This window comes from Homo sapiens, chromosome 21 (assembly GCF_000001405.40).
Source record: "Homo sapiens chromosome 21, GRCh38.p14 Primary Assembly".
NCBI classification, from domain to species: Eukaryota; Metazoa; Chordata; class Mammalia; order Primates; family Hominidae; genus Homo; species Homo sapiens.
In genome coordinates, this window is record NC_000021.9 from 44038459 (window position 1) to 44064800 (window position 26342).

General features: G+C 45.7%; 1 protein-coding gene and 1 pseudogene across 24 annotated transcripts in view; one reads left to right on the plus strand and one right to left on the minus strand.

The window, feature by feature from the left end:
* The window catches only part of TRAPPC10 (trafficking protein particle complex subunit 10), a 94244-nt gene that overhangs the window by 26150 nt on the left and 41752 nt on the right, over window positions 1-26342 (plus strand). For 16 of the 24 annotated variants that reach the window (XM_011529714.3, XM_011529715.3, NM_003274.5 and 13 more), the window contains 4 exons: window positions 13822-14018; window positions 17240-17435; window positions 20645-20756; window positions 25080-25327. In XM_011529714.3, coding sequence (XP_011528016.1) covers window positions 13822-14018; window positions 17240-17435; window positions 20645-20756; window positions 25080-25327 — 753 coding nt within the window. Of the gene's footprint in view, window positions 1-13821; window positions 14019-14066; window positions 17436-20644; window positions 20757-24583; window positions 24711-25079; window positions 25328-26342 lie in introns of those variants that run through there. The other 8 variants (XM_011529721.3, XM_047440972.1, XM_011529722.3 and 5 more) reach the window with 7 other exon arrangements.
* Window positions 7521-8688, minus strand: H2AZP1 (H2A.Z histone pseudogene 1; annotated as a pseudogene).

The following is a 26342-nucleotide window of genomic DNA, read 5'->3' on the forward strand; positions in this document are numbered from 1 at the left end:
CATGTCCTTCCTCCCTGTTGCCGTGCCTGGGCAGGAGGCGCCCCGTGACTCTCCGTGGAACGAGTGGGCCTCAGCCCTGTGGCCGCCACAGCTTTCACTTGTATTTTCTGGTTGTGTATTCATGAATCCAGAAAGAACCTTTTCGTTCTTGACACACTTCTTCTGTCGTGAACTAATAGAAAATTCTGTGCGGCACTTCTTCCTGTATTTTGAGTCAAATAAAGCAAGATTTAGCAGCATAGAAAGTACATAGATTATTACACACTGTGACATTGTAGCCTAGACCTGAGGCACAGAGGTAGTTGTTGGTGATTTTAATGAGACAGGAACTGTAAGTCTGCACCTGGTTTTCCTCAGATTTCACCTCATGCACCCTTTCTCTGCTGACTTTGCTCCGCCTCCTTTCCCACGGGCTCCACACAGCCAGTGAGGACACACGTGAGGAGATTTCCACCGGGGAAGCCTCTGCCGGAGACTCTGTACCCAAGGTTTTCACCAGGCTGCGCCGTAGGCCCCCTCTGCCTGGCGTGCCTGAGAAGGACACTGTCCCTGGCCTGCTGTGCCAGCTCTTCTCCCCATAACACCTGGTTGTAATGTTCGATTTGATCACTCCTCCAGGAGTTGTCCGGTTCCTCCCTGGCGTGGGGCTGTTGTCCCCTTGCGATCAGTAATCTAACTCTGGGGAGCCACTGTGAGGCGATTTAAGTGTCCTGCCCCTCACCCAGTGGTGATTCTTTCCTGAGCCAGAGTCTTTACTAAGGGTGCTGACCTTTCCACCCATCTCCGTCAGCCCGTCCCCTATTCTGGGGAGCGCCTGCAAGGGCCTTCTGCTCAGGCAGTGGTTAGTCAGTCACCTTTACTGATGCTCAGGTTGTCCCAGATTTGGCCATCAAGAGTCACTTCAGACTGGCACCTGTGTTCTTTTGAGCACTTTCTAATCATTTGAGGCATACCAAGATGTTTTAGGTTCTGGGAGCTCGTTGCCCTTGTGCTGGAGTCAGCCGCGTCTCCATGGAGCCCTGGTTCCTCTGGCAGCAGGCGTGCTTGCTGCCATGGTGGCGTTGCTGCCTCTCCACCCTTTACGCAGACAGAGCTGATAGGGATGTGCCTTAGACATCAAGAACTGGGCCGGTCATGGTGGCTCACGCTTGTAATCCCAGCACTTTGGGAGGCCAAGGCGGGTGGGTCACAAGGTCAGGAGTTTGAGACCAGCCTGGCCAAGATGGTGAAACCCCGTCTCTACTAAAAATACAAAAATTAGCTGGGCGTGGTGGCACATGCCTGTAATCCCAGCTACTCGGTAGGCTGAGGCAGGAGAATTGCTTGAACCTGGGAGTGGAGGTTGCAGTGAGCCGAGATCGTGCTACTGCACTCTAGTCTGGGAGACAGAGCAAGACTCTGTCTCAAAAGAAAAAAAAGAAATCACGAACTGATACTGATGCGTCCAATTTTATAACTTGGAGGGCTCTTTCTTGCCTCTCATTTATTTCTGCTCTCACCAACATCAACACATCTCTGTATTTGCTCAGTGCTACAACGTGCATAAGATAGTTTCAGAATTGGTACACCTGCGCCACAACTAGGAGCAGACCTACTGAGAACAGCTCCAAATTTGCAACTAAACTTTTCCTTTTGGACAGTATGTATCATAGTGTTTATTAACGTCTCCTTCAGCTTCATCCTTTTCAGGGTTTTTGTAGTTAGTCTTGCATGTTTAATTGAGGTATTTTTGTTGTGATCAAACTAAGTTTATAAGTTCCCATATGCAGAACTAACATCTTGATCACGTTGAGACATACTCAAGAGCAAGGGCTGCCTTTCCTTTTGTGCAAGTCTGCTTCTGTGTTTTACACTTTATTTTATTAGAGATTTTTAAAAATTCTCTCTCTCTTTTTTTTTTTAAAGACAAGGTCTTATTCTGTCACTCAGGCCAGAGTGCAGTGGTGGGTTCTTGGGTCACTGCAACCTCAACCTCCCGGGCTCAAGTGATTGTCCTACCTCAGCCTCTTGATTGAGTTGAGACCACAGGCATGCGCCCAGCTAATTTTTTTGTATTTTCTGTAGAGATAGGGTTTTGCCATGTTGGACAGGCTGGTCTTGAATTCCTAGGTTCAAGGGATCCACCTGCCTCCACCTCCCAAAGTTCTGGGATTACAGGTGTGAGCCACGGTGCCTTACAGGGTCTCGCTCTGTCACCCAGGCTGGAGTGCTGGAGTGCAGTGGTGCGATCTTGGTTCACTGCAACCTCCGCCCCTCTAGGCTGACGCCATCCTCCCACCTCAGCCTCCCAAGTAGCTGGGACCACGCCTGCCTTTTTTTTTTTTTTTTGGTGTTTTTAGTAGAGATGGGATCTTACCATGTTGCCCAGGCTGATCTCAAACTCCTGGCCCCAAGTGATCCTCCTGCCTCAGTCCCCTGAAGTGCTGGGACTACAGGTGTGAGCCACTGCGCCCGGCCGCCATAGTTCAATATTGAACTATATTTATTTGCATTGCTGGTATAAATCCCACTTAGTCATAGTATTATTTTCTTAATGTGGTATTAGAGTCTATCACTTGAATTTTATTTAGGAGTTTTTGCATCTATAATTCACAAGTGGTTGATCGGTAACTTTTGTTTTATGCTCTTTTTATGAGGTTTTGGTATTGATGTTCTACTTAATTCATTAAAATAATTTGGAAGTTTTTACTTACTTTCTGTTTCTGAAGTCATTTATGTAGCACTGGCGCTACCTGGTCTCTAAGGTTTGGTGGAATTTTGGGAAACTAGCTGGGCCAGGTACTTTTTTGTAACTCTTTGATGAAAATTGGTCTGTTTTCAGCCATTTGCTAATTTTGATAAAGTACATTTTCTTGGAAATTACGTATTTCGGTTAAGTTGTAAAACTTACTTTCATTGAGGTATATTAAGTGGTCTTTCTTTACTTTTTTTTTTTGCGATGGAGTTTCGCTCTTCTTGCCCAGGCTGGAGTGCAGTGGTGCGATCTTGGCTCACTGCAACCTCTGCCTCTTGGGTTCAAGTGGTTCTCCTGCCTCAGCCTCCCGAGTAGCTGGGATTACAGGCATGCGCCACCACGCCCTGCTAATTTTGTAGTTTGGAGACGGGGTTTCTCCATGTTGGTCAGGCTGGTCTCAAACTCCCGACCTCAGGTGATCTGCCTGCCTCAGCCTCTCAAAGTTTTGGGATTACAGGCGTGAGCCACCACGCCCAGCTTTTTTGACTTTTAAAATGTTTTGTCAGTAATTATTTTCCCATCATTATTTATTTATTATTATTATTATTTTTTGAGACGGACTCTCACTCTGTCACTCAGGCTGTAGTGTAGTGGCGCATTCTCGACTCACTGCAACCTCTGCCTCCCAGGTCCAAGTGATTCTTCTGCCTCAGACTCCCAGTAGCTGGGGTTACAGGCGCCTGCCACCATGCCCGGCTAATTTTTGTATTTTTAGTAGGGATGGGGTTTCACCATGTTGGCCAGGCTGGTCTCAAACTCCTGACATCAGGCGATCTCCCAAAGTGCTGGGATTACAGGCATGAACCACGGCGCCCAGCCCCCATCATTATTTCTTATTTTGTATATTTGTGCTTTCTCTCTTTCTTCCTTGATTAAATTAGCTAGTTCGATTTTTTCCCTCCAGAGAACCAGGATTTTAATGTATTCATCTGATTTATCGTTAGTCTGTTTTCTACTCAAGTTTCTACTTTCATTTGTATTATTTTCTTCTTTTTGTTTTCTCATGGTTTACTTTGTTCATTTTTTAGTTTTCGGGCGTTTGAAATGCATTTATTTTCATTCTTAAATTTTTATTGATATAGGTCTTTAAAGTTAGGAATTTTTCTCTGGTTACTACTTTAAATATATCCCATTGTTTTATCATTATTTTTCAGAAATTCTCTATTTTTGATTTGTATTTCACCCTTTCATTAAATAGTTGTTTAACAGAAAGCTTTTTAGCTTACAGAAAAAAAAAGATTAAAAAAATTTTGTTTAGAAATTTCTAGCTTTATTGCATTGTGTTCAGAAAGTGTTTATATTTTTGCTTTATGAAACTTATTTTTAAAATTTTATGAATTTGACTGTTGTGTGACCTAATAAATGATCAGTTTTTTTGGACATTTCATGTGTGTTTGAGAATGTATTTTCTGTTTCCAGATTGTAATGTTAAATATCCACAAGACCTATCTTACTGCTTGTGTTGTTTAGGTCATTTATATTTTGAATTTTGTCCATTTGACCTATCTTTAACTGACAGTGGTATGGTAAAGTCTTCTGTTAGTGGTGTGTTTCTGTTTCTCTTGCATCTCCTGTAGTTTCTGTTTTGTATAGGTGGTTGATGTATTATTTGGTGCTTAGGTGTTTACAACTTACAGTTTTTATGGAGTGAAATATGTCATTTACAGAATGGCTTCTGGGCAGTGTATCTTGCTTAGGGAGGCCTTGTCTGTCTGAAGAGAACTGATTTTCTGTATTTTATTTTAATAATTTTGTAATTTATGTCTTATATTGGGACCCGTATAGCTTCAAATTATTTATATATATTAGGAGCTCTGGGAGTTGAGGGTCTAATTTTACTGTCTGAATGCATAGCAAATTGGCCTAACACCATTTCATAATAGTGTGTCTTTTCTCCACTTACTGGGAATGTCACCTGTATTTTAAACCAACATCCTGTATGCACAATATTCTAGACACTTTGGTTCTATTGATCATTGTCTATCCTGTGCCAGAATCAGACTTTTAATTATTACGCTTTTTTTTTTTTTTTTTTTTTTGGGATGGAGTCTTACCCTGTTGCCCAGGCTGGAGTGCAGTGGCTTGATCTTGGCTCACTGCAACCTTTACCTCCCGGGTTCAAGCGATTCTTCTGTCCCAGTCTCCTGAGTAGCTGGGACTACAGGCGCCCACCACCACCCCTGGCTAATTTTTGTATTATTAGTGGAGACGGGGTTTCACCATATTGGCCAGGCTGGTCTCAAACTCCTGACCTCGTGATCCACCCGCCTCGGCATCCCAAAGTGCTGGGATTGCAAGCGTGAGCCACCGTGCCTGGCCTATTACACTTTTATAATATGTATCAATATCTTTCTTTTAAAATAAACCTTGTGGCCATCTACATTTTCCCTTCCACATGTCGAGTGTCCAAATTTATTTTCTGAAGATGGCTGTAGCAGCATACCCATCCCACATGCTCCTCTCTATGTGACAGTGACTTTCCCTTGTTGAAAGGCTGGGCCTGTGTTTCCTCCAGTTGAATCTGGGTGGGCCTCTGACTGTGGCAGAAGCAACACTGTGATACTTGAGAGGAAGTCCTAAAAGATAACGTGCCTTCTGCTGGATTCTCTCGGGGTGCTTGTTCTTAGATTCCAGCCACCATGCTGTGGGGAAGCCAAGCAGCCCCGTGGGAAGGCCACTCGCAGGTGTTCAGCCTGCCCCAGCTGAGTCCCACTGTGTGTTTTAGCTCCCAGCCTCAACACGCCACTGACACCAGGTGGAGCAGAGACCTTGGTTCCCACCAAATCCTCTCTCAGTTGTAGATCCGTGAGCAAAAGAAAGTTTTACACCACTATAGCTTGGAGTGGCCTGTTACACAGCAGTAGATAACTGGAATATCAGTTGAAAAAGAGAAGGCTGGAGGCATTTTGATTGGGATTGCCTTGAATAAGTTGTTAATTCATTTGAGAAGAATTTTAATCATGAGTCTTCTTGAATCAGGGAATGTGGTATGTATGTTTTTCCATTCTTTATGACTTTTTTCTGCCCTTATTTTTCGTAAAAGTTTTACATTTTTATTGTTAGCTTTAGCTTTTGTGGCCATTTTGAATGAGACTTTTTTCCTTAAAATTACATTCTAATAGCCTTTTTTTTTTCAAATCTTGATTATCGTCTATTTAAAAAAAGGAGTAAGTTGATAATATTGAGGATTTTAGATTTAAAGTAAAACTCTGTTATGTTGAATAGTTGCTTTAGGACTTATAGAGTACATCTGTAACAGCATAATTCTTCCTTCAAGTAATATGAATTATATTACTTGATGCGTGATATAAGAACTTTGGATCATTGACTTCTGTTTTCTCCCTCCCAGCCTTTGTTATTGTTGTCATACATTTTCTATACTTGTTAAAACCCCATAGTACATTGTTACTATTTTTTGCCTTAAACAGTCTGTTATGCCTTGGAGAGATTAAAATAGAAAATCATGTCTTTTTTTTTTTTTTTTTTTTTTTGAGACAGAGTTTCGCTCTTGTCCAGGCTGGAGTGCAGTGGGGTGATCTCAGCTCACTGCAACCTCCGCCTCCCAGGTTCAATCGATACTCCTGCCTCAGCCTCTGAAGTAGCTGAGATTACAGGCGTCTGCCACCACGCCTGGCTAATTTTTTATATTTTTAGTAGAGATGGGGTTTCTGCCATGTTGGCCAGGCCATTCTTGAACTCCTGACCGCAGGTGATCTGCCCACCTGGGCCTCCTAAAGTGCTGGGATTACAGGTGTGAGCCACTGCACATATTTACCCACCCAGTTTCCATTTCCATTGCTGCCTGTTCCTTTTCTTTAAAATCCCTCCGCCTCCCGGGTTCAAGCGATTCTCCTGCCTCAGCCTCCTGAGTAGCTGGGATTACAGGTGCACACCACCACACCCAGCTCATTTTTGTATTTTTAGTAGAAACGGGGTTTCACCATGTTGGTCAGGCTGGTCTCGAACTCCTGACCTTGTGATCCGCCCGCCTCTGCCTCCCAAAGTGCTTGGATTACAGGCGTGAGCCACCGTGCCCAGCCTTTGTTGCTGTCTCTTCCTTTGTGCAGATCCAGGTTTTCATCTGGTCTGGATTTCCTGCTGACCGAAGGATTTCTGTAACCTTGCTTGTAGTGTAGGTCTGTTACGGTAAGCTCTTTCAGCTTTTGTACATTGGGAAAGTCTATTTTGCCTTAATTTTTGAAAAATATTTTCACTCGTTAGGGAATTCTAGGTTGACAATTTTTTTTTAAAGATGTTTCACCTCTTTTGGGTTCCATTGTTTCCCATGAGAAATCTTTCATTATTATTTTTGTTATTTTGTACAAAAGTGGCTTTTTTTCTTTGCATTTTAAGATTTTTTCTTTCTTTTTTCTTTTTTTGAGAGAGTCTCGCACTGTTGCCCAGGCTGGAGTGCAGTGGAGCAATCTCGGCTCACTGCAACCTCCGCCTCCCGGGTTCAAGCGATTCTCCTGCCTCAGCCTCCTGAGTAGCTGGGATTATAGGTGCCCGCCACCATGCCCAGCTAATTTTTTTTGTATTTTTAGTAGTAGAGACGGGGTTTAACCGTGTTGGCCAGGCTAGTCTCGAGCTCCCGACCTTCTGATTCGCCCACCTCGGCCTCCCAAAGTGCTGGGATTACAGGCGTGAGCCACCGCACCGGGCCAAGATTTTTTTTCTTTATATTGGTTTTTAACAGTTTGATTATGGTATGCTTTGGTGTAGATTTCTTAATATTTCTTGTACTTGGGGTTTGGGGGTTTATTTTTTTTTTCTTTTTTGTGGGGGTGGATATGACCTTTATTGAGCATATCCACCGGAGAGGAAATCATGTTTGTACAAAACCAGATGTTTGTTACTATACCTTCTGCATCACAATTAAAATCCGAGCAGTATTTAAAAAACAGTCAACTCAGTCAAAACCCACTGCTTCAGAATCAATAGCTTCTTTGAAGCCACAGTGACCCTTAAATATGGTTAAGACTCGAATGTAGAAATTTGGTTGGTTGGAAAGCTAATTAAACTTCTAACTTGCTTAAATAGAATTACAGAAAGGTAAATTGTGTTTTTCACAGAGATGCAGTCCACTGGAATCACCAACACTGGACAGCTGGTAGAGTATTTAGAGTCCTGAGAAACAAGGAATCCAGGCATCCTTTAGACAGTCCGCTGTTGTCCCTTCTTCCCAGTCAGAGATTTGTGGGTGTGTGCAGTGACACCACCACCAGCAATTGTAGCCTTGACAAGAGACTCCAGTTCTTCATCTCCAGGAATAGCAAGTTGCAAGTGACAAGGGGTGACACGCTTTACCTTTAAGTTTTTTTTTTTTTTTTGGGGGGAGGATTGAATTTCGCTCTTGTTGCCCAGGCTGGAGTGCAATGGCACGATCTCGGCTCACTGCAACCTCTGCCTCCCGGGTTCAAGCGATTTTCCTGCTTCATCCTCCCGAGTAGCTGGGATTATAGGCAGCCACCACGCCCGGTTAATTTTGTATTTTTAGTAGAGACGGGGTTTCTCCATGTTGGTCAGGCTGGTCTTGAACTTCCAACCTCAGGCGATCCTCCTGCCTTAGCCTCCCAAAGTGCTGGGATTACAGGCATAAGCCACCGCACCCGGCCACCTTTAAGTCTTTTGATGCATTTCCTGCCAGTTCAAGTCCCTCTGCAGCGAGGTACTCCAGGATGGCTGTGTTGTACACAGCGGCAGTCGCGCCCACACGTCCATGACTGGCCGTCCTACATTTCAGGTGTCGATGAATATGGCCCACTGGGAACTGCAAGCCGGCTCTGCGAGCGGGAAACCGCCTTTGTCTTGGCCTTTCTGGAGTCCTTTCCCACCTTACTGCCAGCCATTTCGAATTCTGCTGAAGCTCAAGCAAGCAAGGCAGAGAAAGGGCTAATCAGACCCATGGCGAGATCCCACCACCTACTCCTTCGGCGCACTGTGATTCAAACTGCTTGGGGTTTATAGTTTTGATTTAATTTGGAACATTTTTATTTTATTTTATTTTTGAGGCAGGGTGTTACTCTGTCACCCAGGCTGGAGTGCAGTGGCACCATCTTGTCTCACCACAACCTCTGCCTCCTGGGTTCAAGCGATTCTTGTGCCTCATCTTCATGTAGCTTGAAGTATAGGCGTGTGCCACCGTACCCGGCTAATTTTTGTATTTTTAGTAAAAATGGGGTTTCGCCATGTTGGCCAGGCTGGTCTCAAACTCCTGGCCTCAAGTGATCCCAAAGTGCTGGGATTACAGGCATGAGCCACTGCACATGGCCTGATGTAGAACATTTTTGGTCATTGTTTCCTCAGATTGTTTTTCTGTTGCACCCTCTCTGGGGGAGTATGTGTGTGTGTGTGTGTGTGTGTGTGTGTGTGTGCGCGCACACGCTACATGAAGTTCCATAACTCACTGATAATCTGTTGATATTTTTTGTAGTCCTTTTTCCCTTTTTCTTGGTGTTTCATTTGTGTAATTGCTGCTGCTCTGTCTTCGTGTTAACCTTTTCTTCTGCAGTGTCTAATCGGCTCTCATTCCACTTAGCATATTTTCATTTTAGATTTGAGGTTTTCATCTCTAAAAGTTCCATATGGGTCTTTTTCTTAATTAAGTATCTTCCATGTGTCTTCTTCACTTCAGTCCACTACCTTCTTCAACATATGAAATAACTAAGTGACAGTAGTTACTGTAACTCTTTTAATTGCTTTCTGTGTCATTACTGGGGCTATTTCTATTGATTGATTTTTCCTTTTGAGTATAGCTTTATGATTTGATAGGTCTGGAGCAGTGATCAGTCCAGGACAAATTATTCCTTACAGCCGAGGCAACACAGTCTTGAGTTCCTCTGGTTTTCCAGACTGGCCTATGGGGACAGCCCTGTTCCCTGCCCTGTGTGACTGCCAAGCATGGGTGCCTCTGATCGTGTCTGCGGGTTCTGTTCCAGCAATGGGTGGTTCCCGCATGTACTTACTCGTCAGTTCCCTGTGGAATACTCGAGGGCCCTGTGCCGGTCTACTTTACTCACCATGTCCCTCTCCTCTCCTAACACAGTCCTAGGAAGTCTAGCTGTCTTGATCTCCCTGGCCTGGGCTCTGTGTCCTCAACTCAGGGAGTCTGCCAGCTTCCCCTCTGTCACCCCCTGCCCTCCCCACCCTCTGGTGGGCACCCAGAGGGCTTGCTGGGCTTGTTTCCCATCTCTGAGTGTTGAGGGGAGGAATCATTGTCCTTTGTTCCTTGGTGTCCTGGTCTTGAAAACCACTGATTCATGTTTCTTGGTTTTTGGTGTTTTGTTTTGGTTTTTGTTTGTTTGTTTGTTGTTGTTTTTGAGACAGAGTCTTGCTCTATCACCCAGGCTGGAGTGTAGTAGTGAGATCTCAGCTCACTACAACCTCCACCTCCTGGGGTCAAGCAATTCTCCTGCCTCAGCCTGCTAAATAGCTGGGATTACAGGTGCACGCTACCATGCCCAGCTAATTTTTGCATTTTTCATAGAGACGGGGTTTCACCATGTTGGCCAAGCTGGTCTCGAACTCCTGACCTCAAGTGATCTGCCCACCTCAGCCTCCCAAAGTGCTGAGATTACAGGTGTGAGCCACCATGCCCACCCTGTGTTTTTTTTTTTTTTTTTTTTTGGTTGGTTCAGGCAGTGGTGTAAATCTAGTCCCTGTCACTTCATCTTGGCTAGAAGCAGTTCACTCATTGATTTCTAGCTTTTGATGGAGTGTAATCTATTACTATCATAGTATTAATAATTAATATCATTGATGTGCAGATTGTTCTGAATTTGGCTTCTGTACTGATGTACTGAGAATGTACTGATTCTTTGAGTACTCTCTGGGCTCATCCCCTCCTCTTGCTTCATCTCAGGGCTCAGCCCTGGCTCCTTCCAGTGGGAAACTGTATTTAGAAGTCAGGACCTGGAGCTAGGGGAGAGCTTTGCTGGTGAGCTCTCAGTGGGCATGGCTAGAGAACACGTGTGTACACCCACACGTGTACGTGCACACATTTACATCTGTATTTCGTGTGTAGCTGCTTGTGTACGTACATACATACATGTACACACGAGCCCATTTCAGTCCAGCACTGCAAGGGTGATCCTGGTTTCCTCCCTTCTATGTTTGTAACTCCCTTCTCCACATGGAGGAGCCAGGCACTGGTTCTCCTCTGTGTTTCTGATGGGAGTAATCCCTCTGTGAATGACCATCCTCCTGTCACTGCTGCTCTGCTCCCAGCAGGTGGATGCCCATTCCCACACTTGCCTGGCAGTGTGCCTGGCACAGACTTCCTCCTCACCTCACTTGATCTGCAATTAGGACAGGCTCGGGACTTAAATTGAATAAAAAGGCATCCCTGTCTGGGGGATGCCCTTTGTGCCCTGCTTGGCCCCTTATACCACTTACACCCTTATACCTCTGTGCCAGCCCCAAAATCCTTCATCATCTCACTTGGGGCCTCACATCTTGTTCTGTACTTCCCTCTACTGCCACCTGGACACCCTCCTCACTGCTGAGCTCTGGTACCTGGGGCGGCCTGCTGTGCTTGCCCACCTTGGGCCCTGATGCCCTGCCCCTGGCTGCTGCTGCCTCTGTCTTGGAGCTGGAGCCTTCCCCTCTGACTCAGCTCTTGGGTCCTGCATGTATTCCTGCCCACTGCTCATGGGTTTTCCTGTAGTGACTTTGTTTTCTTTCTTTCTTTTTTTTTTGTTTTTTTTGAGATGGAGTCTCACTCTGTTGCCCAGGATGGAATGCAGTGGCATGATCTCGGCTCACTGCAACCTCCGCCTCCCAGGTTCATACAATTCTCCTGCCTCAGCCTCCTGGGTAGCTGGGACTACAGGCGCCCACCACCACGCATGGCTATTTTTCTATTTTTAGTAGAGATGGGATTTCACTATTTGGCCATGCTGGGACTTTGTTTTCTTTAGAGACCCTTAGCTTCACTGGCTCTGCTGGTCCTCTTAAGAGTCACAGAGTCGTTTTTAACATGTCGTTTTGTTTGCTAGCTGGGATGAGTGATAGGCTGGATCTTGCCAACCGGTTTGCCCCAGGATTATGTGGAACTTCTCTGTACTCCCTCTGTCCTGCCTCATGCTCTGTGAGGTTTCTTCTGGAGAGTTCCTGCAAATTGACTGAGCAGAGCTGCTCTAATGTCCCCTTGGGATGTGGCAGCCCCTGCCCGGTGTGGACAACTTGGAGCCAGGACTCCTTCTGGGGTGGGGGTGGGGAGGAGTCCAGCTAAAGGGCTCTTGGTGGCCTTGTAAGAGGTGGAGAGGCTTCCAGCAGCTCCTTGGATGGCTCACCTGTGACGTGTGGATGGGGTCAGCCGGGTGCTATGTGTATTTTCTTGGCAGTCACAGGCTCTGGGCCCTGTTGGCCTTTTGGTTTTGCTTCCAGGCATGGCGTGTTGGGGCTTCCAGCACAGAATGGTTCACCAGTGCTGTAAAATCTATGCTTCAAGTCCCAAGAACTGCCGTGCTGTGGAAAATGTGCACTAGATAATTAAGTTACTGTTGGGTATTTATTTGCAGGAAATTGAGTTTACCAGTTGGTTTTAATCTCAGTTTTCAAAGTAAAAGATCTTTTCAGATTGTATGATATTTGTAATTTAAATCAGGACATAGCAGTTTTTAAAATCAGGATACAAATGAGAAGTACTGCCTTTTGGAACTTTCTATTTAGTTAGTTAAACCAAAAGAGAGGCTGGGTACAGAATTTAGGATTTAATATTTTTTTTTTGGAGACGCAGTCTCGCTCTGTCGCCCAGGCTGGAGTGCAGTGGTGCGATCTTGACTCACTACAACCTCCGCCTCCCAGTTCAAGCAATTCCCCTGCCTCAGCCTCCTGAGTAGCTGGGACTACAGGTGCACACCGCCATGCCCGGCTAATCTTTCCATTTTTAGTAGAGATGGGGTTTCACCATGTTGCCCAAGCTGGTCTTGAACTCCTGAGCTCAGGCAATCCACCCACCTTAGCCTCCCAAAGTGCTAGGATTACAGGTGTGAGCCACTGTGCCTGGCCAGGATTTAAGATTTAACTCACTCGTGGATACTCTGATTGGCTTCTCTCTGCCTGAGTGTTACTCAAGAGTGACTTGAAAGTCCGGAGGAATTAGGGCAGGACAGTGAGGAACTAGCAAAAGAGGAGAAAGCACTGATTTAGATGGTAGCTGTGAGTTACTGTGTCCAGATATTGTCAGTGCCTAACTTGGAAATGAATTAAGTATCTTGGTTTTAGATTTTCTAAATCTAAAGGGAGTTGGACTCTTCTGAGTGGATTTATGGAATAGAAGCGCAGTTATAAGTGATAACAGGCAAAGTGTCTGTTTTCCTGGTTCTTTATGGAAGAGAACCAAGCTGAAGGCCTTGGCATGTATGTAGAAAGGGCCCTTTCTCTGGCAGGCTCATGCTTGGGCCTCTGCGTGAGAAGCAGGATTGATTTCTGGGATGGCACGGCTCCCTGCTGCCTGTCGGGAAGTAGAGCAGCCTTGCGGAAGCTGCAGGTCGCCTTCTTTCTGAGGTCTCACAGCTGTAGCTGCTTGCCTCTGACACGGCCTTCGCAGACTTGCGGTTGGGGTGGTTCCCAGGGGTACAGAGCTCAGAGGCTGTGGTAGAAGCTGCCGGGAAGCTTGCCTGGGGTTCCTGTGGGCAGTCTGGGCTGTGCCATGACAGCCAGCTTGCCTCCTGAGATGAAGGCACGGCACACAGCAGGATGGCAGTCATGTAGTGCTTGGGCCCAGAGCTGTTGGCCATAGTGGGCCTGGGTTTTAAAGCCCTGACTTGCCTAACAGACAGTATTGCTGTGGGCAGCTCACTCAACCCTCTGACTCTCAGTCTCTTTATCTGGATCACTGGGACGCTCACATCCCTTGGGGTTGTGAGAACTGGGGATCATGCATGCCTGTGTGCGGCACTGAGACCCACAGAGCACGCCCGCAGGCTTGCTAGGCCGCTGGGCTTTTTATTCAATTTAAGTCCCGAGCCTGTCCTGATGCTTTAAAACATTGCGGCCTTTGCAGGCTGTTATTAGGCACATTTTGCTGTATAAACTAAAGGGCATTAGTTAACCTGCTTTCACAGTGACTTGTTTGTTTTTAGGATACCGAAGTGTATAAAGCTACAGTAAAAGATGACCTCACCAAGTGGCAGAATGTTCTGAAGGCTCATAGCTCTGTGGACTGGTTAATAGTGATAGTTGAAAATGATGCCAAGAAAAAAAACAAAACCAACATCCTTCCCCGAACCTCTATTGTGGACAAAATAAGAAATGATTTTTGTAATAAACAGAGTGACAGGTAAGTGTATCTTTAATTTTACCTCATTTGGTTAATACTTGACATGATACAGATTGCTGGCTTCCTGGGTAGTAATAAATATTTACTCAGCAATCTCGAGTGAGTGTCCATGGGGTGCTGTCAAGGAGACCTGGTGCCTGTCCTTGTGGAGTTCCTGTTTAGGCAGGCAAAGAACTCGAAGCAGTCATCCCCCGAGTGTGCTGCCTGGGAGGAGCGGGTCTTGGGCCCATAGTCCTGGGAGGCCTCTTGGTGGGTCCTTTCTGAAGACTGACAGCAGCAGCTCCTGCAGTTCTTCTGTAGAACGGGTCCTTAAAGGTTTTTGTTTTTTTTTTGAAATGACGGCACCTGTGTTTTTTTCTTTACCTTAACACCTGAGAGTTCCTAAGAACACAAGTTATAAAATGCTGACCTAACCCCTTCAGAAACTGTGAAAGGGAATCCTGAAACTTTGGCAGTTAATAGATTGTATGGGCTTTCTCCGCCTTGCCCTGCTCTCTCTCCTGGGGTAGCTCACTCCCTTTCTCTTCAGTGATGCCATTGCCAGCTGAGCCAGCCAGCACGTTAACTCCTCTATAACCGATGGTCTGTATCTCGTAGCTTAGCACTGGAACTCACCCAAGGCCTGGGGATTCAGGGGCGAACATGGACCCTGCCCTGGTCCAGCAGGTCATTATAGCCATGGTCACCATGCTTATGGTGGCGAGGGTTCAGATGGAGGTACATGCTCATTGTAGAATTATTAGAAAAAGGTAATGAGCAAAAAGAAAATGGATATTAACTCTTAGTATTTTGGTATGTATGTTCTGAGACTTTTTTTCTTTATGCATACATAATACGTGTGTGTATTTTAAGTTAATATAACGTTATGTGTTGTTTATACTTGTTTTTTTCACTCAATATATTGTAAAGATTTTCCACAAACAATAAATGCATTTCCAGACTCTCAGTGTTAGTGAGTGGATAATATTCCATAGTATTAATGTGCCGTAAGTTATTTATACATTCTGCTGCTGGGCTTAGGTTATTGCTTACTTATCGTTATAAACAACAATATTAGAATACTTTTCTAGCTCAAATGTTGTGAGCATCCTTAATTATTTCAGGATACCTTCCCTAAAGGAAAATTGCTTGGTAACAGATTTTGTGCATTTTTTGGGCTTTTGCTAGTTACGAGGCTGGTAGAGGCAAGGGTTGACTTGTGATCAGCAGTGTGACTTGTGACAGCAGTAGCCGTTGTGGTGTCTCGCTGAGGCTGCAGCCGGGAGCCCCTTGTTCCACATGTGCCTCCAGCCCCTGCAGTCTGCGCGCCTGGGGGGATCACGCCGCTCTCCAGATTGGCCCACCATCCCTGACTTCATTCGTTGTTTTGGGCTCTCCTTTTCTGAGTTAATGATTTAGGCTTGATGTGAACTTCTGAAGTGTAGTTCTTTTTTACTTAAAAAAAATTGATGATGATATAGAAACAGGATCTAATAGAGATAGGACATTTCATGACTGTGTATCTGATTGACCTCTGAAAACAGTTACTGTTTTGGTGGTTGGCACTTGTTAAGTTTCCATTTCCATTCACCCCTGTAGGCGCACAGGAGAATTCGCGTCTGGTCGGGAATAAATGTTGGTAATTATAATCCTTGAGAATGCCTTAAGGATAAACTACCTAACTCATAGGTTCTAGCAAGCTCCTACTGTGGATAAATACAAGTTAGTCCTCTGGGGGACCTTTGGAGTGAGCGGCTCTGGTCCCTTTGTCTTTGAGGGAAGAAAGTGTGCAGTGGGGTGGATTGAATGGAATTAAAGCCAGCCACCAAGTTATAAGTTTTCTTCTTGGTTCTGGTTGTTCACATGGTGGAACATGTAGAGTGTATGCTGCTTCACTGTTTTGTCCACTGATTTATAATTCCATGAATTTAGCCATGCCTCCAAAGGATATGCTGGGGCACGGAAAAAAGGAACTTAGAGTCAGTTCATTTTGCTACTTTTTGGTAATTCAAGTAAAATATTTACTAAGGAGAACTGGTGAAGCTCATAGAATCAATGTTTTAAAATTATTTCTGAGTTCAGATTTATTAATCATCTTTCTAGATTACTATTACCAAGGCTAAAGAAATTTACCATTTCCAGCCTATCAGATAAATACGTTGCCTTGTCCAAATCTGTTGGGAACTTTGTGTAATTTCGTGTGTTTGACCTTTTTACATCATGGGTTCAGCCTCTTTGTAATTAAACTGTTTGCTCTATATGTTAAGCCATGTTCTAAGCCTTTATTTGTTAATTGTTTATTAACCTTCCCCTTCAAGAGCTCACAGGCTAGTGGGAGGGATAGAGGTCCAGAGAAGGGGAGTGTTTTCCTGTGAGGCCCACAGCCTAGCAGCAGTGTGGGCAGAGCAGTTGGGATGGTGATTGGGGGAGGTTTGTGAAGATGCCACGCCTGGGTGGAAGGAATGTTCTCATGAAGAGAGGAGAGCGGGAGAAGGTCAGCAGGCTTGAGCTGGGAAGCAGAGGAAGTAAAGTGAGACATCGTGGTCCTTTTGTGCTGTGCTGAGAAATCTAAATTTATCCTGTCGATCCCAAGGAACCAAAATGGATTTTGAAGGAGGCAGGGAACTGAGTGAGGCGTGATCACATTATTTTACAGAGGACTCAGAGCTGCGTCTTTGGCTCAGGGCTCATGTAAATCCCTTTCCCCCTTTCCAGTTGATTCTATAGCAAACTCTCCTTTGAATTTCTGTAGAACTTACTGCTCGTGTTCATGACCAGTTCATGATGAAGCCTTTTCCTAACCTGGTTTCTTACCGCCTGCCTCATGTTTTTGACTGTTTATAGACGGAAGAAGCTAGATGCGGTGGCTTATGCCTATAATCCCAGCACTTTGAGAGGCCGAGGCAGGAGGATTGTTTGAGCCCAGGAGTTCGAGACCAGCCTGGGCAACATAGCAAGACCTCACCTTTACAAAAAAATACAAAAATTAACCAGGCATGGTGGTGCGTGCCTGTGATCCCAGCTACTGGGGAGGATCACTGGAGCCTGGGAGGTGGAGGTTGCAGTGAGCCAAGATTGTGCCACTGCACTCCAGCCTGGGCCACAGAGCAAAACTCTGTCTCAAAAAAAAAAAAAAAAGGAGGAGGAAGGAAGAAAATTGCCGCTCAGGACAATGGCAGCTGCTGAGTCGTGGTGCTGTGCATGGAGGGTCTTTCCCAGATAGTCTGTTCATGTCTTTGCAGGTGTGTTGTGCTCTCCGACCCCTTGAAGGACTCTTCTCGAACTCAGGAATCCTGGAATGCCTTCCTGACCAAACTCAGGACATTGCTTCTTATGTCTTTTACCAAAAACCTAGGCAAGTTTGAGGATGACATGAGAACCTTGAGGGAGAAGAGGACTGAGCCAGGCTGGAGCTTTTGTGAATATTTCATGGTTCAGGTACTTGACTCATTACAGAACTAGACAGTTCCTTCTCTCCTTCCCTCCTTTGTTCCCTCCCTCTCTCCTCCTTTCTTTCTAAGTAAGGCACCTCTCGTGGTAATCTCATTGGCAGAGTTTTTAAAAACAAAAAACCTGGAATATCTTTAGGACTAGAAAGGAAGTGTATGGAAGCAGATGGGGCATGAAAAGGACACACACACTGCCCCGGGGAGCCTCTGGGGGCAAAAGCTGGAGCAGTTTCAGTGACAGAATAAATAAGGATAGAGTCGAGGTTTAACCCATGGAATAAAATTAATATCCATGAGTCTGTATCGATAGAAATCATCAGTTAAATAAATAAATGGAGGAGAAGGGTCAACTCTTCCATACAGAAGAATTCCACTTAAACGCAGAAGGAAAGAAAAACAGAAAATCACTTTTAAGCCAGTGCTCCAGCAAGAACTGTTGGAGGCAGGATTACTGATGGGTGTCCGGGGTGGTGGGCAAAGGCCTGAGAAGAGGTGGGCTTGCACAGTCTCACGGTGGCCCCCCAAGATGTCTGTCAGCTACTGAGGGAGCAGTAGCCACTCCACAGTGGGGAAACCAGGTACATACCACCTGAATGAAATGATAAGGCCGCTTCTGCCCATGAGAAGCTGTGTCCACCTCATGAAATCCTTGGTAAGATGTTCTGAGAAATACTTAGCGTCTTTTCTCTGTAAAAAATGATCATCTCACGGCAGTCACGGAACATATCAAATGAACCCACGTAAAGGGACATTAGACAACATAGCTCTCTTCAAGGGTGCCACGGCAGTGAAAGACAGACTGTGAAGCTGACAGACTGCAGGGGCTGAAGGAAGCAACAGCTCCGGCCTGGTTTGGGGGTCGAGGGTGGGGTCTTAGAGCAGAAACAACTACATCAGTGGAAAAACCACTGAAATTCCAATGAGGGCTATTTAGTTAATAGTATTATACTTAGGTTAATTTTCTGGTTGTGACAATTGTACCACGGTCATATAAGATGGCAATGTTTAGGAAGCTGAGTAAGGGCTATATGGAAACTAGATAATTTTTTTTTTTGCAATATTTCTGTAAGTCTAAGATTAGTTCAGAATTTAAAATGAGTAAGGAAGGAAATTCTGACACACACTACAGCATGGATGGGCCTAGAGGACATGATGCCGAGTGAAATAAGGCACATAGGGACAGATGCTGTGTCTGCTTATGTGAGGTCCCTCGAGTGCTCAGGTTCAGAGACAGAAGGTGGAATGGGGGCTGCCAGGGGCTGGCAGAGGGAGAATGGGAATGAGTGTTTAATAAAGGACAGAGGTTCCGTTTGGGAAGATGAGAAAGTTTGGGATATTGGTTGCACAATAGTGTGAGTGCATTTAACACTACTGAGCTGTAGTCTTCTCTCTCTCTCTCTCTTTTTTTTTTTATGATGGAGTCTTGCTCTGTCACCAAGGGCTGGCGTGCAGTGGTGCGATCTCGGCTCACTGCAACCTCCATCTCCCAGGTTTAAGCGATTCTCCTGCCTCAGTCCCGAGTAGCTGGGATTACAGGTCTGCGCCACCACGCCCAGCTAATTTTTGTATTTTTAGTAGAGATGGGGTTTTGCCATATTGCCCAGGCTGGTCTCAAACTCCTGGCCTCAAGTGATCCTCGCAAAGTGCTGGAATTACAAGCCTGAGCCACTGCACCCGGCCTGAGCTGTACTTTTAAAAATGGTTAAGATGGTCAGTTTTATATTACATACATTTCAATCAAAATTTAAAAGAAAAAGATGAGTTTATTAGAGTGCTGAGTCTTGTAAATACTTCACAAATAAAATGAAGTTCAACATAACTTAGCAGTTTCTCTTGCAAAACACAGCCCACCACTGTTTTCACGGGAAACAGGATACAAAGGAGAGCTCTCAGTTCTCACCTAGTGAGTGGGACCTGGGTGGGCCCTTAGGGGTCTGGGAATAATGTCCACAAATACATGGGGTGGAACTGGATTCCAAAGACCTGACCATGTCAGGGGAGGTTTATGTGCGTGCACATCCTCCTGGTCTTTACTTTTTAATGTGCAGTAATGGAGATCAGAAGGCAATCACCTGTTGCCCTCTCTTTTCATTTTCTCATTCAACAAAGGTTACTGAGCACGGACAGGTGCCAGGCCCTCCTTGATGCTGGGACGCCGTCAGTGTACAGTTTTTTGTGAGCTTGTGTGACAGTGGAGGAGATACAGGAAAGGAAGTGACGCATATGCTAGGGCGAGAGAGAGGCACAAGGCAGAGATGGTGTGGGGTGCTGTGCGGGTCAGGAGGAGGAAAGGCCTGACTGGGCTGGGGACTTAGCCAGAGCTGAAGGAGTTTGGAGAGCAAGCCATGTGGGTGTATAGAGGAAGAGGAGGTGTTCCAGGCCATGGAGTGGGGCAGCGCACAGGTCCCGAGGCAGCTCCCTGCCACGCACACGTGAGCAGCGGTGAGGAGGCCTTGGTGGTGGAGCTGAGTGAGGCCAGAGGGCTGGTGCTGGGAAGGGGTGGGGGTGGGGGACATAGATTTTGCAGGGCCTGGGGATGTCTCGAAAGGATTTAGGAGTCTCTTGAATGTGATGAGCAGTCGCTGACTGAAATGGGGAAGACCGTGGGTGGAGCACTTTGTGGGAAAGGTTGGGGTTCAGGTTTCCATGTGTAAGCCTGAGCTGTCTGTTAGGCATCCACACAAGCGTGCTGTGCCTGCCATTGGAGCCAGAGTCAGGTCTGAGCTGGAGTCCTGAATGTGTGGTGGTCATGCTGTGTAGATGGGCTCCGTCATGGAGAGGGAATAGTGAGTGTAGACAGGGAAGTCCAAGGGCGGAGCCCTGCGGCCTCCAGCAGAGAGCCTCGGGGAGCGAGAGGAACCAGCCGTCTGACCAGAGGGAGCCACAGTGAGGGGCGAGGGGAGCAGGTGGCCAGGTCCTGGACAGCAGGAAACATCCCAAGGACAGGGGGGTGACCAGTTATATCTGGTGCTGCCGATAGGTCGGGGAGGGTTCAGAAATTACCTTAGCTTTTCCTAGCTTCTTGTGCATGCGTGAATGTTGACATATGCGGTCGTCACATTGGTTGTTACTTAGCGGAGCGTAGACATTATTCATAGTGCTGCGTGCCTTTCTCTGTCGTTTAATGGCTACATACTGTTTCTTCTATACATTGATTTATGTTTTTGTTTTTTTAAAAAACGTATCTTGGGCGAATAGGAGGAGCTTGCCTTTGTTTTCGAGATGCTGCAGCAGTTCGAGGACGCCCTGGTGCAGTACGACGAACTGGACGCCCTCTTCTCTCAGTATGTGGTCAACTTCGGGGCCGGGGGTGAGTAGTGGCACTTCAGTAACGCATGCTTTTCTTAGTGTGGCTTTCTCCAACTTCAGATAGGCTTGAAGCAGCCATTTATTTACCTCAGGAGTACGCATGTTTTGTTGTTGTCTTTATACACATTATATCGGATATATTCTCGTGATTCCTAGAGGAAATGAAATGAGAATTAAGAATTAGTCATTTTCACTTTTAGAAGAATCTTAAGTAACAAAAATAATAATAATTTAAAAAAACTGTTTTCCAGGTATAAAATGTCCTTTCCACAACTCAGTGGCCTGCTGGTGATGCTTCGATTCTGTCCCTCGTTAGAATCAGAGTGGACGTCCCTTTGCCTTCCATCCAGGGGTTATCTTTGGAATGCTCGAGTGCTCATTGCTGTGAACTTATAAAATGCCCTTGGGTGTTCATCTTTCTTTTGCACTTTTAAATAATATCTTAAGCTCCTTTACAATTAAAGAATTAGCACAGTGAAACCATACACAGAGAGAAACATTGGTTATTGTCCTCAGTGTTTTTCGCTGATACTTATTTTGATGAAAGTGATACCACGTTATATAGCTGTTTCTCTGTCGCTCCTTTTTGTTACTCACAGCCCATCCTGGGCATCTCTCCAGGTTAGCAGGTGGGGTTTGGAGTTGTTTTTGTTACAATTGGTATTCCTGGCTTGATTCCATTACCTGGTGTTGGACATTGGGTTCTTTTATGCTTCTTGCCACCACAAGCAGTGCTGTAGTGGGCATCTCTGCCAGGTGTTCTTTTTGAGAACCCTTGTCACCATGTGTGAAGGAAGGAGTAATTTTGAGGAGCCCTGGTGTCAGCAGGAGAACCTGGAGGGAGATGAAGTGTGGGGACGGTCAGTTCTAGCTGTGAGCACTGTCCTCACTCTGGAACTCATCAGTGGCGCCGATGGATACTGGCTCATAGTGCTTCTGAAGATCAGGTCTGGATATCTCACTCTCCTGAGATGCCAGTATAGACACAGAACCAAAGCAAAGTGTTTACTAAGTAAAAAAATAAAATAAAAAAACACTTCTATTTCTTATATTTTATGTGTCTTTTTTTTTTTTTTTTTTGAAATGGAGTCTTGCACTGTTGCCCAGGCTGGAGTGCAGTGGCACAATCTCGGCTCACTGCAAGCTTTGCCTCCCGGGTTCATGCCATTCATGCCATTCTCCTGCCTCAGCAGTGGGACTGGGACTACAGGCGCCTGCCACCACGCCTGGCTAATGTTTTGTATTTTTAGTAGAGACGGGTTTTCACCATGTTAGCCAGGATGGTCTCGATCTCCTGACCTCGTGATCCGCCTCAGCCTCCCAAAGTGCTGGGATTGCAGGTGTGAGCCACCATGCCCGGCCTTATGTGTCCATATTATACAAACATATCTATTTATTTATTTTTGAGACAGTGTCTCACTCTGTCCCCCAGGCTGGAGGGCAGTGGTGTGATCTTGGCCCACTGCAACCTCTGCCTCCAGGGTTCAAGCGATTTTCGTGCCTAAGCCTCCTGAGTAGCTGGGATTACAGGTGCATGCCACCATACCTGGCTAATTTCTATATTTTTAGTAGAAACGGGGTTTCACCATGTTGGCCAGGCTGGTCTCGAACTCCTGGCCCCAAGTGATCCTCTTGCCTCGGCTTCCCAAAGTGCTGGGATTATAGTTGTGAGCCACCATGCCCAGCCTATACATACATACATACACACACACACACACACACACACACACACACTTTTTTTTTGAGACGGAGTCTTGCTTTGTTGCCAGGCTGGAGTGCAGTGGTGTGATCTTGGCTCACTGCAACCTTCTCCTCCTGATTTCAAGCGATTCTCTTGCCTCAGCCTCCCAAATAGCTGGGACTACAGGTGCGCACCACCACGCCCAGCTAATTTATTTATTTATTTTAATTTTAATTTAATTTAATTTTATTTTATTTTTTGAGACGGAGTCTTGCTCTGTAGCCCAGGCTGGAGTGCAGTGGCGCCATCTCGGCTCACTGCAACCTCCGCCTCCCGGGTTCACGCCATTCTCCTGCCTCAGCCTCCTGAGTAGCTGCGACTACAGGTGCCCGCCACCAAGCCCGGCTAATTTTTTTTTGTATTTTTAGTAGAGACGGGGTTTCACCGTGTTAGCCAGGATGGTCTCGATCTCCTCGTGATCTGCCCACCTCAGCCTCCCAAAGTGCTGGGATTACAGGCGTGAGCCACTGCGCCTGGCCAATTTTTTTATTTTTAGTAGAGTTGGGGTTTCACCTTGTTGGCCAGGCTGGTCTCGATCTCTTAACCTCGTGATTCGCCCGCCTCAGCCTCCCAAAGTGCTGGGATTACAGGCGTGAGCCACCGCACCTGGCCTGTATTTTTTAAATATCTTACATTTTTTTAAAAAATAGATTTATTTAGCAAAAAACGTTTGAATTTAATAAAGAAATGGCAATAACTGGTGCATACATTAGTTGAAAATATTAAAATATTTACACTGAGCACCAAATAGAATAATTCTCAGTCTTTTCATGGAGAACTCCTTTGAAAGAATGCCTAGAACTTAATCTGTTTATTTAGGTTTTTAATCGAGAAATCTAAAACTGCCAATCACAGTTTCTAATTACCATGAGATGACCAGGTTAACAACCTTGAGGTCATATCATAGGAGCTTTAAAAGCTGCGTTTAACCTATACATTCTAACTGAGGGCATTTGTTAGCCTCAGGCAGGCTGGTAATCACAGGTCCATGTGCTTGTGATGCCATATACACAACATTGAGTAAATAAGTGTTATTTATAAGGTAAAGACCATATGGTCCCTGGCAGCAGAATAGGTGCTGGGCAGCGTCAGGGACCAGGCACCTGAATGGATGTCAGTGCATGTGAGAAGGAGCCTTCAAGGCTGAAATATCTTACATATTTCTTATATTTGACATAATTTATTTGGTTTTTTCTCTCAGTTTTAAAATTTGGGGCAATTTAAAATCCAAAAGTAAGCCTGGACCAAATTTTGCCACTGAATAAGATGGTTCGTTTTTGTTCTTTCATTCAACAAATACTTACTGAGGGACCACCATGTGCCAGGCACTGTTCTAAATACAGGGAGGAATAAAGCAGAATCCCTTTTTTTATGATGCTTACATGAAGGGGAAACAGGCACAGAAAAGTAAATCTATCACTTGCTGTCCATAATAGTAAGTTTGGGCCGTAGAAAGGGGCTCAGGTGAGAGATGGGGCAGTATGTGCCATTGGAGCTTAGATAGGGCACTGGAGTGGCCTCCCTGTGGGGGCGGCACTGGCACAGAGGCCTGACTGAAATGTGGGAGTGCCCCGTGAGAATCCTGTGGGAGGGGAGCCTAGCCAAGGGAACTGCTGGTACAGGGCTGGGCTGGTACAGGGCTGGGTCCACTCCACACTGCTGGGTGCTCCAATAGCCCTGAGGATGCTGGTGCAGGGGCTGGGCCAGCGGGTCCACTCCACACTGCTGGGTGCTCCAATAGCCCTGAGGATGCTGGTGCAGGGGCTGGGCTGGCAGGTCCACACCACACCACTATGCGCTCCCCGGGTCTGAGGAGAAGCTCACGTCAGTGAAGGGAGCGTTTAACCATGCCAGGATGCCACGTAGGAATGAACTGGTTATGACACCTCTCTGTTGAAGTGAGAAAAATAGATTCAAAGATTTTTTTCAATAATGATTGATGGACTTGTTATTATACATTGTTATGCTTATTTTAAGATCATATTTGAGTCTTAGGGATGTAAGTAAACCTCTGGGAGCCTTGCTGAAATTTTCGACAAGCAGTAATTCTTTTTCCTTCTATGTGCTGCTACCAAGTCCTCCCTGTCCCTTCCTCCAGGAGCTTGACTCAGGGACGTGACGTGGTTGAGTTAGGGAAATAAGGAAGGAATATGTAATCTAAGGAAGACCAAAAAACACCAGGATGGTCAGAGCAGGCTGCACTCCAGCCCACAGGTAAAGATAAGGAAGCCCAGCCCCGCTGCAGCCTAAGACTAGAGCCCTCCCTCGGCCTGAGACAGAGCCTGAGCTCCCCTAACCATGTAGCCTGTCTGTCTCTGGGTGACTTCCCAACCTGTTCAGCTCCCGCCCATGACTTTCTGGGCATGGTAGGGTGGTGTGCCTTGTTGCCTGGGTCACGTTACCCTCAGCTCGGCTGTCAGTGCTGGGAGCCGAATGCATCACTAGACCACAGGGGGTGGGCCAGTGTTCATAGAAAAACTGGTTATGAAGCTGCCTGTTTGCCCACCATCCTCAGCCTGAGCAGGAAGCTCAGGAAGGTGAAGTACCTGCAATCAGCACCTTTCATGATGTGTGTTTGTTTAGATGGTGCCAACTGGCTGACTTTTTTCTGCCAGCCAGTGAAGAGCTGGAACGGATTGATCCTCCGAAAACCCATAGATATGGAGAAGCGGGAATCGATCCAGAGGCGAGAAGCCACCCTGTTAGATCTGCGCAGTTACCTGTTCTCTCGCCAGTGCACCTTGCTGCTCTTCCTGCAGAGGCCGTGGGAGGTGGCCCAGCGCGCCCTAGAGCTGCTGCACAACTGCGTGCAGGAACTGAAGCTCTTAGAAGTGAGTCGGCTGTTTTCCCAATTTACCCGTTTCTTGATTGTTCCAGCAGAAATCTCTGAACCTTGAGATCCCAGGCATTGAACTGTTTGTGCTTAAGAAAGGGTTTTCTTTTCTGAATGCCTTTAATTTTCAGTATATTGTTTGCTTAGTTACTTTTTACGTTGATAAATTGCTCAAAAATAGAACTCTGTTCTCAACATGCTGGAGTTTGTGCCGGTCCAGAGCAAGCCTCTTAGATGAGCTTCTCAGTGAAGCTCACTGGCTGACTGCGGCCTGTGCTGCTGCGTGAGCTGTCTCCACGGGGAAGAGTCACTCACCTGAGGGACACGCAGAGCTAGATTTTGCATGTAGACATTTATTTTATTTCAGACACTTATGTCATGTAGACATTTATTTATTTGTCTTTTCAGATAAATAGTTTTGCACATGGCCATGCAGGTAGCAATGTGAGTGACACACAGCAGGCTGTGCCCCATTGATTAGTAGTACGGAGCTTCATGGAAGATATGTCATAAATATGTGTGTGTGTGTGTGTGTGTGTGTGTGTGTGTGTGAGTGTGAGAATGTAGTTAGTAAAACATTTGCCCTTAGAGATAAATTCACCCAAGCACTGAACTCTTACTGTCCATAGAACCACGGACATTGTAGTGAGATGAAAGGACTGTAGAGACCGTATCTAGTCTGGTGATTCTTGTTTCAGGGTCCTCTTTACCCAAAACAATTCACACACACACAAAATGATACTTACGACCTGAGGATTTGTGTACATCCCTGCCACCCATCCCCTGGTTAAGATCTCCTGAGTGAGTGGTCTCTGATGCTGTTTTGTAAACAAGAAAACGGAGTCTGGAAGTGATTAGGTCTGAAGAGTATAAGCCATTGATGGGGACGGTGTTTCATAATATAGGAACTTATTTTTGTGTGCTTGGTTTAAAATAATTTTAAGAGATTTAAACTTTAATTAATGAAGAGAAATATATTTTAGTTAATTTCAAAAGGAGAAGTTCTTATTTCA